The sequence below is a fragment of the Homo sapiens genome, chromosome 5, assembly GCF_000001405.40.
Source record: "Homo sapiens chromosome 5, GRCh38.p14 Primary Assembly".
In the NCBI taxonomy this organism is placed as follows: domain Eukaryota; kingdom Metazoa; phylum Chordata; class Mammalia; order Primates; family Hominidae; genus Homo; species Homo sapiens.
In genome coordinates, this window is record NC_000005.10 from 170,919,326 (window position 1) to 170,935,678 (window position 16,353).

The following is a 16,353-nucleotide window of genomic DNA, read 5'->3' on the forward strand; positions in this document are numbered from 1 at the left end:
TTTTATAGTAAGAATAAAAGTTAATTTAAAAATGTATGTTTAGTAATTTTATTCTGTAATTCTTATTGTAGGAAGATGTAATATTTTAAATAACTTCTGCTTTATTTCTTTGTAGCACTGGGAATTTGCTCCTAACAGTGTTCATTATTTATTAACTCTGTGGCAAAGGATGGTAGCATCTGTTCCTTTTGTGAAATCAACTGAACCCCACCTATTAGACACTTATGCACCAGAAATCACGAAGGCCTTTATCACTTCTCGGTTGGACTCTGTTGCCATAGTTGTGAGGTATTCAAAAACTAAATGTTTTTGTTGTATTTCCTTTTGACACTTGGAATTTTTTAAGATAAAGTTATAAATTTAAAATTCACCCCTTTTAGCGTACAGTTGTATGATTTCTGACAAGTGCACACAATTGTATAACTACCATCACAATTGAGATATAGATTAGTTCCATCAATCCAGATAGTTCTTTTGGCTCCTTTTTCAGTCAGCCCCTCTCCTCACCCTCATCTCTGGCAGTTACTGATCTGTTTTGTGTACCTGTAATTTTTTTTTTGTCTTTTCCAGAATGTTGTATAAATGAAATTATACAGTATGCAGCTTTTTAGTCTGATTTTTTTCCACTTAGCATAATGCATTTGAGAGATTCCTCTGTGTTGTGTTAGTACTTTACTTTCATTGCTGAGTAGTATACCATTTTGTGGATATATCAGTTTGTTTACCAATTCACCTGTTGCTGGACTTTTGAGTTGTTTATGTTTTTGGCCATTGTAAATAAAACTGATGCAAATACTCCTGCACAGATTTTGTACAAACATAAGTTTTTGTTTCTCCTGGGTAAATAGCTAGGTGTGGGATTCCTGGGATGCATGTTAAATATAGTATATATTTTACTTCGTAAAAGCTGCCGAACTATTTTCCAAAGTGGCTGTACCATTTTGCATTCCCGCTCACAATGTATGAAAGACTCAATTGCTCTGTGTTCTCACTAGCACTTGATATTGTTAGTTTGAAAAAATTTTACTCATTCTAATAACTATGTAGTGGTACCTCATTGTGGTTTTCCCTTAATGACTAATAATGTTGAGCATATTTTCATGCACTTATTTACCATCTGTATGTATTCATTGCTAGTGTGCTAGTCAAATCCATTTCCCATTTTTTAATTGGGTTGTATATTTTCTTTTTTTTTTTTTATATTGAGATTTGAGCAGTCTGTGTATTTTCTTCACAAGTCTTTCTGTTATGTATTTGCAAATATTTTCTGTGTTGTTTGCCTTTTCATTTTCTTTCTTTTTATTATACTTTAAGTTCTAGGGTACATGTGCACAATGTCTTGCCACGTTGTCTTCTACAATGGTTGAACTAATTTACATTCCCACCAACAGTGTAAAAGCATTCCTGTTTCTCCACATCCTCTCCAGCATCTGTTGTTTCCTGACTTTTTAATGATCACCATTCTAACTGGCATGAGATGGTATCTCATTGTGGTCTTAATTTGCATTTCTCTGACCAGTGATGATGAGCATTTTTTCATATGTCTGTTGGCTGCATAAATGTCTTCTTTTGAGAAGTATCTGTTCATATCCTTTGCCCACTTTTTGATGGGGTTGTTTTTTTCTTGTAAATTTGTTTAAGTTCTTTGTAGATTCTGGGTATTAGCCTTTTGTCAGATGGATAGATTGCAAAGATTTTCTCCCATTCTGTAGGTTGCCTGTTCACTCTGATGATGGTTTCTTTTGCTGTGCAGAAGCTCTTTAGTTTAATTAGATCCCATTTGTCAATTTTGGCTTTGGTTGGCCTTGCTTTTGGTGTTTTAGTCATGAAGTCCTTGCCCATGCCTATGTCCTGAATGGTATTGACTAGGTTTTCTGCTAGGGTTTTTATGGTGTTAGGTCTTACATTTAAGTCTTTAATGTATCTTGAGTTAATTTTTGTGTAAGGTGTAAGGAAGGAATCCAGTTTCAGCTTTCTACATATGGCTAGTCAGTTTTCCCAGCACTGTTTATTAAATAGGAAATAATTTCCCCATTGCTTGTTTTTGTCAGGTTTGACAAAGATCAGATGGTTGTAGATGTGTGTTATTTCTGAGGCCTCTGTTCTGTTCCATTGGTCTATATATCTGTTTTGGTACCAGTACCATGCTGTTTTGGTTACTGTAGCCTTGTAGTATAGTTTGAAGTCAGGTAGCGTGATGCCTCCAGCTTTGTTCTTTTTGCTTAGGATTGTCTTGGCTATACGGGCTCTTTTTTGGTTCCATATGAACTTTAAAGTAGCTTTTTCCAATTCTGCGAAGAAAGTCAGTGGTAGCTTGATGGGGATAGCATTGAATCTATAAATTACCTTGGGCAGTATGGCCATTTTCATGATATTGATTCTTCCTATCCATGAGCATGGAATGTTTTATCAAGGTTCATAGCTTCCTTTCATTGGGTTAGAATATGCTCCTTTAGCTCGGAGAAGTTTGTTATTACCAACCTTCTGAAGCCTACTTCTGTCAACTCATCAAACTCAGTCTCCGTCCAGTTTTGTTCCCTTGCTGGTGAGGGGCTGCAGTCCTTTGGAGGAGAAGAAAGAGGTGCTCTGGTTTTTGGAATTTTCAGCTTTTCTGCTCTGGTTTCTCCCCATCTTTATGGTTTTATCTACCTTTGGTCTTTGATGTTGGTGACCTACAGATGGGGTTTCTGTGTAGATGTCCTTTTTGTTGATGTCGATGCTATTCCTTTCTGTTTGTTAGTTTTCCTTCTAACAGACCCCTCAGCTGCAGGTCTGTTGGAGTTTGCCGGAGGTCCACTCCAGACCCTGTTTGTCTTGGTATTAACAGCAGAGGCTGCATAACAGCAAATATTGCTGCCTGATCCTTCCTCTGGAAGCTTCATCCCAGAGGGTCACCTGCCTGTTTGAGGTGTCTGTCAGCCCCTACTGGGAGGTGTTTCCCAGTCAGGCTACACAGGGGTGAGGGACCCGCTTGAGGAGGTGGTCTGTTCGTTCTCGGAGTTTGAACGCTGTGCTGAGAGAACCACTGCTTTCTTCAGAGCTGTCAGACAGGGACGTTTAAGTCTGCAGAAGCTGTCTGCTGCCTTTTGTTCTGCTATGCCCTGCCCCAAGAGGTGGAATCTACAGAGGCTGAGCTGCGGTGGGCTCTGCCCAGTCTGTGCTTTGTTTACACTGTGAGCTATTCAAGCCTCAGCAATGGCGGACCCCCCTTCCCCCGTCAAGCTGCAGCATCGCAGTTTGATCTCAGACTGCTGCACTAGCAGTGAGTTACGGCTCCGTGGGCGTGGGACCCACTGAGCCAGGCACAGGAGGGTATCTCCTGGTCTGCAGGTTGCTAAGACTGTGGGAAAAGCACAGCATTTGGTCAGAAGTGTACTGTTTCTGCAGATACAGTCTGTCACGGCTTCCCTTGGCTAGGAAAGGGAAATCCCCTGACCCCTTGCGCTTCCTGGGTGAGGCGACGCCCTGCCCTGCTTCAGCTTGCCCTCCGTGGGCTGCACCCACTGTCGAACCAGTCCCAATGAGATGAACCATGTACCTCAGTTAGAAATGCAGAAATCACCCATCTTCTGCATTGATCTCACTGGGGGCTGCAGACCAGAGCTGTTCCTATTTGGCCATCTTGGAAGCCCTCCGCCTTTTCATTTTCTTAGCAGAGTCCTTAGAAGAGCAGAAGTTTTAAATTTTGACTAAGTCCAATGCTTTATTTTTTCTTTTATGTATTATGTTTTTGTTGTTATACCTATGGAAACTAATCCAGGGTCACAGAGATTTTTCTTTTATTTTCCCTTCTAGGAGTTTTATTGTCTTAGAATTTACATTTTAGTCTGTGATCTCTTTCAGGCTAATTTTTGTATATTACCTGGCATAAGGCTAGAGTTCTTCTTTTTGGCATATAGATGACCAGTTATTTCAACATCATTTGTGTAACAGACTATCCTTTCTCCATTGAATTGTTTTTACACTTTTGTCAAAAATTAATTTACTGCATACATGTAGTTCTATTTCTGGACTCTGTCTTCATTAATCTATGTGTCTGTTCTTTCACCAGTACCCTGTCTTGATTAGGTTTATAATAAGCTTTGAAATCAGATAGTATGAGTTCTTTAAGTGGCTTTTCTCTTTCAAAATTGTTTTGGCAATTCTACTTTCTTTGCTTTTCCATGTATATTTTTGAATCAGTTTCTTAGTTTCTACAAAGAAGTTCTGCTGGGATTTTGACTGGGATTGCATTGAAACTATAGATTAACTTGGGGAAAGAATTGACATCTCAACAATATTGAGTCTCTTAGTCTCTGAGCATGTCTATCTTTTAGTTTATTTAGCTCTTCTCTGATTTTTCTTTAATCAAACATTTTATGGTATTTAGCCTTCAGATCTTGCATACATTTAGGTAGATTTAATTGATATTTTATGTTTCCTACTGCCTTTGTATGATACTGTTTTTTAAATTTGAATTTCTAGTTGTTCACTGCCAATATCTACTAATACAGGTCATTTTGTATATTGACCTCGTATGCTATGACCTTAGTTAAACTTACCTATTAGTTTGAGTAGCATTTTTGTGTTTCTAAAAATATTTTCTGTTTACATAATCATGCCATCTTCAGATATAGACAGTTTTATTTTTTACCTTCTAATACATTTCTATTTTATTTTTTATTTCTTTTCTTTTTTCTTTTTTTTTTTAGAGACAGAGTCTCGCCCTGTCACCCCAGCTGGAGTGCAGTGGCGCAATCTTAGCTCACTGCAACCTCCGCCTCCCAAGTTCAAGCAATTCTCATGCCTCAGCCTCTTGCGTAACTGGGATTACAGGTGTGTGCCACCATGCCCAGCTAACTTTTGTATTTTTAGAGTCAGGATTTCGCTATGTTGGCCTGACTGGTCTCAAACTCCTGGCCCCAAGTGAACCTCCTGCCTCTGTCTTTTATTCCTTTATTATAGAATTTTTATTTAACATGAAGTTTATTTGTGGTGAATAAAAGTGCTTCACATTCTAATGTTGTCTGCAAACTTATTCTGTGTTTGCAGAGATCACTTAGATGATCCACTGGATGATACTGCCACTGTGTTTCAGCAGTTGGAGCAGTTGTGCACGGTCAGCAGATGTGAATATGAAAAGACATGTGCTCTTCTTGTGCAGTTATTCGACCAAAATGCACAGAATTACCAAAAACTTCTGCATCCATATTCTGGTGTAACTGTGGACATCACCATTCAGGAAGGTCAGTAAACTTTATATGACTACTGAGTATTATGTTGAATATTAAGTAACATCATTAATCACTTTAATAGTTTTACTGCAAGTTATTTTTATGTATTTTCCCCAATTCCTGGTCCCCTAATAAACCATTAATTTTATTAACCTCCTGGGTATATTGGTAATTTGTTGGTTGATTTTTTTTTTTTTCAGTTTTCCTCTATAAGATTGATAGGATATACTTCTCTCTGGAATCAATATGAAGAAAAATTGATAATGGCCCTTGAGCAGATAGTTTATGAACATAACTATCTTAACTGGTTGTGTTTTCTTCTTTGCTATACTTGATTGCAAACTCAGAACCCAATTTCAGCCAATAAAAAGTATATAATATATCATTGTGATTTTGCTTTTAGGTATTAGCCTTCGTTATGGCTTTACTATTATTTTTATTCCTCAATTTCTTTATTTTGTTTTTAACCCTTTATTGACGGAGGAGGTATTTATTTCTGTATATCCTTTTAGGTCCTTTCAGGAACATAGGGAGTAAAAATAAATGTATTTTTCCAATTTTCTTGTTAAGATGCACTACAGGAATGGAAATTTCTAGTAGAAAGCACTTTATAGTTCTGAAGTTGTTTTGCATATTTGTTTATCTTGTATTGGAAAGTGAGTTTAGTAAGAGATCATAATCAAATTTACTTCCAGTGATTTCCCATTTTAACTTAAAAAAATTTTTAGAAGATTATCCTTTACATTTGAATAATGTTTTTTAAAAATGCGTTTTATTATCTGTCCATCTTGCGTTAAGTCACACAGTACTGATGAGGGGCTAGTGTGAGATAATCTTCTCTACTTCAGTGTTTTTTTTCTTTTATGGGATCTTATTTGTAAATTAAATGGGGACAACTAACACTTTTGCAGCATTTAGTCTCTTCATTATTGATTTATTCTTCTAGAAGAGTTTTGAAAGTTATTAAATATCAAATTCATATAAAAGGATATTTATATATATTGAGACATACAGAATAGCAGTAACCACAAACACTATTACCTTGCTTAAAGAATAGGTCGTTTGCCAATACCTTTGCAGCATCTTTGTTCCTCTTTCCAAATCTGTCCTCTTTCCTATCAACAGAAAATACTTAACAATCTTGAATTTTGTGTTTATCAATTCATGCCTTTTCTTCATTATTACCACATGTGTATGCATTCCGAAAATAATACATGATATTGCATATTTCTCAACGTTATACAAATGGAATCATACTGCATTTATTCTTTGACAACTTTATTATCATTTCTCAGTATTTTATTTATGACAGCTCATACTGATGCATATAGCTATAGTTCCTTCATTTTCAGTACCATGCACTGTTACGTTGTTTGAATGTACCTCAGTTTATTTGTGCATTCTCTTGTTAATAGGTATTTGTTTTCTGTTTTTTGCTAATAAAATCAGTGCTCCTTAACAATTGTTGTGATATCCATTATATATTCAGCTTTAGTAGGTACTGTTAAACTATTTTACAAAGTGTTTGTACTATTTGACATCCTACCAATAGTGTTCAGGTGTTCCCATCAATCTCTATCAGGAAGTGGCAAACTTTTTCTTAAAGTGCCAAATAGTAAATGTTTCAGGTCTCCATCGCAACTACTCAAGTCTGCCTTTAGCCAGGAAGCAGCCGTAGACCATACTCGTGTCTGTGTTTCAGTAAAGTTTTATTTACAAAAACAGGAGGCTGTCTTATAGGCTGTAGTTTGCTGACCTGGACCTAGATTCTTGCCAGCAGCTCGTATTATTATACCTGCATTTTTGATGATCTAGTTGAGAATAATATACCTCCTAGGTATTTTACTTTTCACTCTGCTGATTAATAAGTTTAGTATTATTTCATGTTTATTGATTGTTGTATCATCATCAGTGAAATGTATGTGCATCTCTTTTGTTCATTTCCACCTCACCACTGGATTGCTTTCTTTCACTGATTTGTAGGAGTCTTTTATGTATTTTGACATTAATCATTTAGGTTTTTGAATTGTAAATATCACTCCAAGTTTGCGACCTGTCTGCTGCATATCATTTTAGTGTGTTATTCTTATTTTCATATCAAACTTGATTTTGATTAATTCACAAAAATTTTTTTGAAGAGGTAATGTATTTCATTGTGCAAAAATTAAAAAACTTAAAATGTGTTCTGTTCCAGTGCTATACTCTGTCCTCCCTTTCTTCACTCTAGCAAGTAGTTATTCTTAGTTTTGCATGTCTTTCCAAAGTTTCTATATGCATATACAAAGAGTTATGAATATATAAATTCTTACCTCCCTTATTTGCATAGAATACAGCATACCATACTCACTGCTCTACTTCTTGCTTGTTTTCATTTAGTGTTTTATAGCTATTTTCATAATATAGAGAGAACTCTTATTTTTTGTAGATACATACGTAATATTTTACTTTTTGAATATATCATAATTTAACCATTCCATCCACTGTTGACAATGATTTTAGTGATTTAGTCTTTTCCTGTTAAAAGTATTCCTGTACAGATAAACCTTGTATGTGTCATTTTATGTATATATGAATTTATAAATTTCTCCTAGTGAAATTGCCGTTGAGTGGAAGGTTAATGTATTTGTAATTCTGCAAATGTTGCCCAGTTGTTTTCTGTAAGGACTATACCATTTACTTGTCCACTAGAAATGTATGAGATTGTTTCCATGTATCCTTCATAGGACAATATATATATATTTTTATTATACTTTAAATTCTGGGATACATGTGCAGAATGTGCAGGTTTGTTACATAGGTATACACATGCCATGGTGGTTTGCTGCACCCATCAGCCTGTCATCTACATTAGGTATTTCTTGGAATTCTTGGCAATCCTGTGTGTGAAAAATGGTTTTTCAGTATAATTTAACTTTGCATTTTTCTTATCAGTGAGGTTGTGCATTGTTTAAATTTACATAAGAGCCATTTGGCCTTTTTTTTTGTAAATGAACAATTCATTTCCTTTGCCATTTTTCTATTGGGTTGTTGGTCCTTTTTTTCTCCTTGATTTTTAAGAGCTTTTTACAGTTAGGAAAGTGAGCTCCTTGGGTGTGATCAGAGTTGCAAATATCTTTTTCCTTTTTTTCTTTGCATATGTTTTAGAGATTCAAATATGGTGAGCATATTTTGTTTCTTTTTGTTGTTGCATAGTATTCCATAGTATTGCCTTACCATAGTTTATCCATTCACCAGCTGATGGACATTGAATTACACTTAGAGTTTTTGGCTATTGCAAATAATGATGTTATTAACATTTTTAGACAAGTCTTTGTATGTAGAAGAAATTTTCATTTCTTTTGGATAGGTACCTAAGATGAGTGCTGGGTCATATGGTAAATGTATGTTTAATGTTGTAAGATACTACTAAACAGTTTTATGAAGTGGATGTATCATTTTTCATTCCCATTAACATTGTATAAGAGTTTCACTTACTCTGCATCCCTGCCATCATTTGCCATCTGTTTAGGCACTCTACTGGGTGTCTAGTGTTATCTCACTGTGGTTATAATTTGCATTCCCTAATGATTAATGATGTTAAGCATCTTTTCTATTCTTTTTTGCCACTTGTATTTCTTATTTTGTGAAAAGTCTGTTGCCCATTTTTAAATTGGATTGTTGGCTCTTTTGTATGTGTTAGGGAATTGCAAGAGTGCTTTATATGCTCTGTATTCTGTATACAATCTCTTTTTCACATATATGTTTTACAAATATTTCCTCCCAGTCTGTGGTTTGTCTTAACTATTTTTCAAAGGTGAAAAGTTTTTAATTTTGATGGTCTACTTTTTCACTTTTTTCTTTATGGCTTGAGGTTTTTGTATTTATGAAATCTTTTCTAACCTAATGCTATGAAGAGTTCTATGATTTCTGTAAGTTTAATAGTTTCAGCTATTATATTGAGGCCTGTGATCCATTTGGTGTTCATTTTTGTGAATGTTGTGAGTTAAGGGTCAAGGCTTACAGTTATCCAGTTGTTCTAACACCATTTGTAGAAAAGAATATCTTTCTCCCCCATTGAATCACTATGACACCTTGGTCAAAAATCAGTTGACCATAAAATGCTAGAGTCTATTAGTGGACTTTTTGTTCTGTACCACTGATCTATATATGTTTATCCTTATGCTAATACTATATTGTCTTGATTACTGTAGCATTAATAATTCTTGAAATCAGGTAATACAAATTATTTAACCTTTTTTTTTTTTCAAAACCGTTTGGCTATTCTAGGTCTTTTGGCTTTACTAATTAATTTTAGCATCAGCATCTCAGTTTCTTCAAAGTAGGTGCTAGCATTTTGATAGGGTTTGCCTCAATCTATACATCAGTTTGGGCCAGGTTAACAACATTGAGGCCTGCAGTTCATGAACATTTAGTTTTCTTTGCAATATTTTATTGTTTTCAGTGTACAGTTAGTGAAATTGTTCACTGAGTTTATTCCTATGTATTTTTGATGCTATTGTAAATTTCCTGATTATTCTCTGCTACTCTATTAAACCAGAATTGAATTTTGTCTTTGTGTCTTATAACTTTGCTTAATTTATTAGTTCTAATAACTATTTCATAGATTCTTAGGATTGTCTATGTGATCATGTTGTCTGCAAATAAAGATAGTTTTATGTCATCTTTCCAGTCTCCATGCCTTTTGTTTATTTTTCTTGCCTTATTCTACTGAGGGCTTCCAGTACAGTGTTGAATAAAATGTTAAGAAGGGGACATTCTTGCCTTGTTTCTGTTTGTAAATAGAAAGCATTGAGCATTTTACTGTTGAGTATGATGTTATCTGTACGCTGTTTGAAGACGTTCATGAGTTTGAGGAAGTTCTCTTCAATTCTTCAGGGTGTTTATAATGAATAACGTATTATTTTGGGGTTTTAAAATAGACCTTTTATGCATCTATTCAAATGACTTTTTTCCTTTATTTTACGAATGTAGTGAATTATATTAATTGATTTTTCGATGTTAAACCAGCTTTGCATTCTCAGGATAAATCCTACTTGGTCATAATATAATGTTTCTTTAGAAATTGTTAAATTCAATTTGCAACACTTTTGTTATTTTATATCAGTGTTTATGAAGGATATTGGTTTGTAGTTTTCTTGTGGTGACTTTGCCTGGTTTGGGTAACATGGTAATACTGGCTTCATAAAATGAGTCCGGTAGTGTTTCCTCTTCCTCCTCTATCTTGTGAAAGAATTTGTGTAGTATTGCTATTATTTCTTCTTTAAGAGGGATAGAATTCGTCTGTGAAGCCAGCGGGCCAAGAGGGTTTATAATTGTGAATTCATTTTCTTTAATCAGCATAGAACTATTCAAATTTTCTGTTTCCCTTGGGGTCAAATTTAGTCATTTGTGTCTTTCAAGGAATTTACTCAATGTTTCAATGTATTGGAATAAAACTATTCTTAATATTCCATTGTTATTAATATCTCCAGAAGCTGAAGTTGAGATTGATAATTTTGTCATTTTTTTCTTTTGTTCTGAGTGACCCAACTAGATTTTCATCACTTTTGTTGATCTTTTTAGAGAACTATTTTTAGTTTCATTGATCTTTATTCTTTCTTCATTTTCTATTTCACTGATTTTTTTTCGCCTTTATTATTTTCTGCCTTATACTTACTTTGGATGTTATTTGATATTCCTTTTCTAATTCTGGGTGCAGACTGCAGATCTTTGAGTTTTAGATTTTTGGACTTTTCTAATAAAAACATTTAAAGCTATCAATTTTTCTTTAAACATTACTTTAGTTGTTTAAACATTACTTTAGTTGCATCCCACGAGTTTTGTAGTTTTATTATTACTTTTTTCTAATCTTTTTATTATTTTTTATTTTATTTATTTATTTATTTATTTTACTTTAAGTTCTAGGGTACATGTGCACAATGTTCAGTTTTGTTACATATGTATACATGTGCCATGTTGGTGTGCTGCACCTGTTAACTCGTCATTTACATTAGGTATATCTCCTAATGCTATCCCTCCCCGCTCCCCCCACTCCCCGGCAGGCCCTGATGTGTGATGTTCCCCGCCCTGTGTCCATGTGTTCTTATTGTTCAGTTCCCACCTATGAGTGAGAACATGCCGTGTTTGGTTTTCTGTCCTTGGGATAGTTTGCTCAGAATGATGGTTTCCAGCTTCATCCATGTCCCTATAAAGGACATGAACTTGTCCTTTTTTATGGCTGCATAGTATTCCATGGTGTATGTGTGTCACATTTTCTTAATCCAGTCTACCATCATTGGACATGTGGGTTGGTTCCAAGTCTTTGCTATTGTGAATAGTGCCACAATAAACATACATGTGCATGTGTCCTTATAGCGGTGTGATTTATAATCATTTGGGTATATGCCCAGTAATGGGATGACTGGGTCAAATGTTATTTCTAGTTCTAGATCCTTGAGGAATTGCCACACTGTCTTCCACAATGGTTGAACTAGTTTACAGTCCCACCAACAGTGTAAAAGCGTTCCTATTTCTCCACATCCTCTCCAGCACCTGTTGTTTCCTGACTTCTTAATGATTGCCATTCTAACTGGTGTGATATGGTATCTCATTGTGGTTTTGATTTGCATTTCTCTGATGGCCAGTGATGATGAGCATTTTTTCATATGTCTGTTGGCTGCATAAATGTCTTCTTTTGAGAAGTATCTGTTCATATCCTTTGCCCACTTTTTGATGGGGTTGTTTGATTTTTTCTTGTAAATTTGTTTAAGTTCTTTGTAGATTCTGGATATTAGCCTTTTGTCAGATGGGTAGATTGTAAAAATTTTTCTCCCATTCTGTAGGTTGCCTGTTCACTCTGATGGTAGTTTCTTTTGCTGTGCAGAAGCTCTTTAATTAGATCCAATTTGTCAATTTTGTCTTTTGTTGCCATTGCTTTTGGTGTTTTAGAAATGAAGTCCTTGCCCATGCCTATGTCCTGAATGGTATTGCTTAGGTTTTCTTCTAGGGTTTTTATGGTTTTAGGTCTAACATGTAAGTCTTTAATCCATCTTGAATTGATTTTTGTATAAGGTGTAAGGAAGGGATCCAGTTTCAGCTTTCTATATATGGCTAGCCAGTTTTCCCAGCACCGTTTATTAAGTAGGGAATCTTTCCCCATTTCTTGTTTTTGTCAGGTTATTCAAAGATCAGATGGTTGTAGATGTGTGGTGTTATTTCTGAGGGCTCTATTCTGTTCCATTGGTCTATATCTCTGTTTTGGTACCAGTACCATGCTGTTTTGGTTACTGTAGCCTTGTAGTATAGTTTGAAGTCAGGTAGCATGATGCCTCCAGCTTTGTTCTTTTTGCTTAGGATTGTCTTGGCAATGCGGGCTCTTTTTTGGTTCCATATGAACTTTAAAGTAGTTTTTTCCTATTCTGTGAAGAAAGTCAGTGGTAGCTTGATGGGGATAGCATTGAATCTATAAATTACCTTGGGCAGTATGGCCATTTTCATGATATTGATTCTTCCTATCCATGAGCATGGAATGTTCTTCCATTTGTTTGTATCCTCTTTTATTTCACTGAGCAGTGGTTTGTAGTTCTCCTTGAAGAGGTCCTTCACTTCCCTTGTAAGTTGGATTCCTAGGTATTTTATTCTCTTTGAAGCAATTGTGAATGAGAATTCACTCATGATTTGGCTATCTGTTTGTCTGTTATTGGTGTATAGGAATGCTTGTGATTTTTGCACACTGATTTTGTATCCTGAGACTTTGCTGAAGTTGCTTATCAGCTTAAGGAGATTTTGGGCTGAGACAGTGGGGTTTTCTAAATATACAATCATGTCATCTGCAAACAGGGACAATTTGACTTCCTCTTTTCCTAATTGAATACCCTTTATTTCTTTCTGCTGCCTGATTGCCCTGGTCAGAACATCCAACACTATGTTGAATAGGAGTGGTGAGAGAGGGCATCCCTGTCTTGTGCCAGTTTTCAAAGGGAATGCTACCAGTTTTTGTCCATTCAGTATGATACTGGCTGTGGGTTTGTCATAAATAGCTCTTATTTTTTTTGAGATATGTCCCATCAATACCTAGTTTATTGAGAGTTTTTAGCATGAAGGGCTGTTGAATTTTGTCAAAGGCCTTTTCTGCATCTATTGAGATAATCATGTGGTTTTTGTCTTTGGCTCTGTTTATATGCTGGATTACATTTATTGATTTGCATATGTTGAACCAGCCTTGCATCCCAGGGATGAAGCCAACTTGATCGTGGTGGATAAGCTTTTTGATGTGCTGCTGGATTTGGTTTGCCAGTATTTTATTGAGGATTTTTGCATCGATATTCATCAGGGATGTTGGTCTAAAATTCTCTTTTTTTTTGTTGTGTCTCTACCAGGCTTTGGTATCAGGATGATGTTGGCCTCATAAAATAAATTAGGGAGGATTCCCTCTTTTTCTGTTGATTGGAATAGTTTGAGAAGGAATGGAACCAGCTCCTCTTTGTACCTCTGGTAGAATTCGGCTGTGAATCCATCTGGTCCTGGACTTTTTTTGGTTGGTAGGCTATTAATTATTGCCTCAATTTCAGAACCTGTTATTGGTCTATTCAGGGATTCAGCTTCTTCCTGGTTTAGTCTTGGGAGGGTGTATGTGTCCAGGAATTTATCCATTTCTTCTAGATTTTCTAATTTATTTGTGTAGAGGTGTTTATAGTATTCTCTGATGGTAGTCTGCATTTCTGTGGGATCAGTTGTGATATCCCCTTTATCATTTTTTATTGTGTCTATTTGATTCCTCTCTCTTTTCTTCTTTATTAGTCTTACTAGCGGTCTATCAATTTTGTTGATCTTTTCAAAAAAACCAGCTCCTGGATTCATTGATTTTTTTGAAGGGTTTTTTGTGTCTCTATTTCCTTCAGTTCTGCTCTGATCTTAGTTATTTCTAGCCTTCTGCTAGCCTTTGAATGTGTTTGCTCTTCCTTCTCTAGTTCTTTTAATTGTGATGTTAGGGTGTCAATTTTAGATCTTTCTAGCTTTCTCCTGTGGGCAGTTAGTGCTATAAATTTCCCTCTACACAATGCTTTAAATGTGTCCCAGAGATTCTGATATGTTGTGTCTTTGTTCTCATTGGTTTCAAAGAACATCTTTATTTCTGCCTTGATTTCGTTATGTACCCAGTAGTCATTCAGGAGCAGGTTGTTCAGTTTCCATGTAGTTGAGCGGTTTTGAGTGAGTTTCTTAATCCTGAGTTCTAGTTTGATTGCACTGTGGTCTGAGAGACAGTTTGTTATAATTTCTGTTCTTTTACATTTGCTGAGGAGTGCTTTACTTCCAACTATGTGGTCAATTTTGGAATAAGTGCGATGTGGTGCTGAGAAGAATGTATATTCTGTTGATTTGGGGTGGAGCGTTCTGTAGATGTCTATTAGGTCTGCTTGGTGCAGAGCTGAGTTCAATTCCTGGATATCCTTGTTAACTTTCTGTCTCGTTGATCTGTGTAATGTTGACAGTGGGGTTTTAAAATCTCCCATTATTATTGTACGGGAGTCTAAGTCTCTTTTTAGGTCTCTCAGGACGTGCTTTATGAATCTGGGTGCTCCTGTATTGGGTGCATATATATTTAGGATAGTTAGCTCTTCTTGCTGAATTGATCCCTTTACCATTACGTAATGCCCTTCTTTGTCTCTTTTGATCTTTGTTGGTTTAAAGTCTGTTTTATCAGAGACTAGGATTGCAACCCCTGCTTTTTTTGTTTTCCATTTGCTTGGTAGATCTTCCTCCATCCCTTTATTTTGAGCCTATGTGTGTCTCTGCACATGAGATGGGTCTCCTGAATACAGCACACTGATGGGTCTTGAATTTGATCCTGTTTTTATGATGTTAGCTGGTTATTTTGCTCATTCGTTGTTGCAGTTTCTTCCTAGTATTGGTCTTATTTGGCATGTTTTTGCAGTGGCTGGTACCAGTTGTTCCTTTCCACGTTTAGTGTAAGGCAGGCCTGGTGGTGACAAAATCTCTCAGCTTTTGTTTGTCTGTAAAGGATTTTATTTCTCCATCACTTATGAAGCCTAGTTTGGCTGGATATGAAATTCTGGGTTGAAAATTCTTTTCTTGAAGAATGTTGAATATTGGCCCCCACTCTCTTCTGGCTTGTAGAGTTTCTGCCGAGAGATCTGCTGTTAGTCTCATGGGCTTCCCTTTGTGGGTAACCCGACCTTTCTCTCTAGCTGCCCTTAACATTTTTTCCTTCATTTCAACTTTGGTGAATCTGACAATTATGTGTCTTGGAGTTGCTCTTCTCAAGGAGTATCTTTGTGGCATTCTCTGTATTTCCTGAATCTGAATGTTGGCCTGCCTTGCTAGGTTGGGGAAGTTCTCCTGGATGATATCCTGAAGAGTGGTTTCCAACTTGGTTCCATTCTCCCTGTCACTTTCAGGTATACCAGTCAGACGTAGATTTGGTCTTTTCATGTAGTCCCATATTTCTTGTAGACTTTTGTTCATTTCTTTTTACTCTTTTTTCTCTAAACTTCTCTTCTAACTTCATTTCATTCATTTGATATTCAATCACTGATATCCTTTCTTCCATTTGATCAAATCTACTGAAGCTTGTGCATGCATCACGTAGTTCTCGTGCCATGGTTTTCAGCTCCATCAGGTCATTTAAGGACTTCTCTACACTGTTTATTCTAGTTAGCCATTCGTCTACTCTTTTTGCAAGGGTTTAGCTTCTTTGCAATGGGTTCGAACATCCTCCTTTAGCTTGGTGAAGTTCGTTATTACTGATCGTCTGAAGCCTTCTTCTCTCGAATCGTCAAAGTCATTCTCTGTCCAGCTTTGTTCCGTTGCTGGCGAGGAGCTGCGTTCCTTTGGAGGAGAAGAGACCCTCTGATTTTTAGAATTCTCAGCTTTTCTGCTCTGGTTTCTCCCCATCTTTGTGGTTTTATCTACCTTTGGTCTTTGATGATGGTGACGTATGGATGGGGTTTTGGTGTGGATGTCCTTTCTGTTTGTTAGTTTTCCTTCTAACAGTCAGGACCCTCAGCTGCAGGTCTGTTGGAGTTTGCTGGAGGTCCACTCCAGACCCTGTTTGCCTGGGTATCACCAGCTGAGGCTGCAGAACAGCAGATGTTGCTGCCTAATCCTTCCTCTGGAAGCTTAGTCTCAGAGGGGCACCGGG

The 16,353-nt window shown here is 36.2% G+C and overlaps 1 protein-coding gene across 21 annotated transcripts in view; it reads left to right on the forward strand.

Annotated features, from left to right (window-relative positions):
• Positions 1–16,353, forward strand: part of RANBP17 (RAN binding protein 17) — a 437,998-nt gene that overhangs the window by 57,308 nt on the left and 364,337 nt on the right. For 20 of the 21 annotated variants that reach the window (XR_007058628.1, XR_941108.3, XR_007058630.1 and 17 more), the window contains 2 exons: positions 116–288; positions 5,032–5,225. Coding sequence is in view for 16 of the 21 variants with exons in the window: in XM_011534627.2 (XP_011532929.1) it covers positions 116–288; positions 5,032–5,225 (367 nt within the window). In the remaining 5 variants the exon portion in view is untranslated. Of the gene's footprint in view, positions 1–115; positions 289–4,772; positions 4,816–5,031; positions 5,226–16,353 lie in introns of those variants that run through there. The other variant, XM_047417533.1, reaches the window with a different exon arrangement.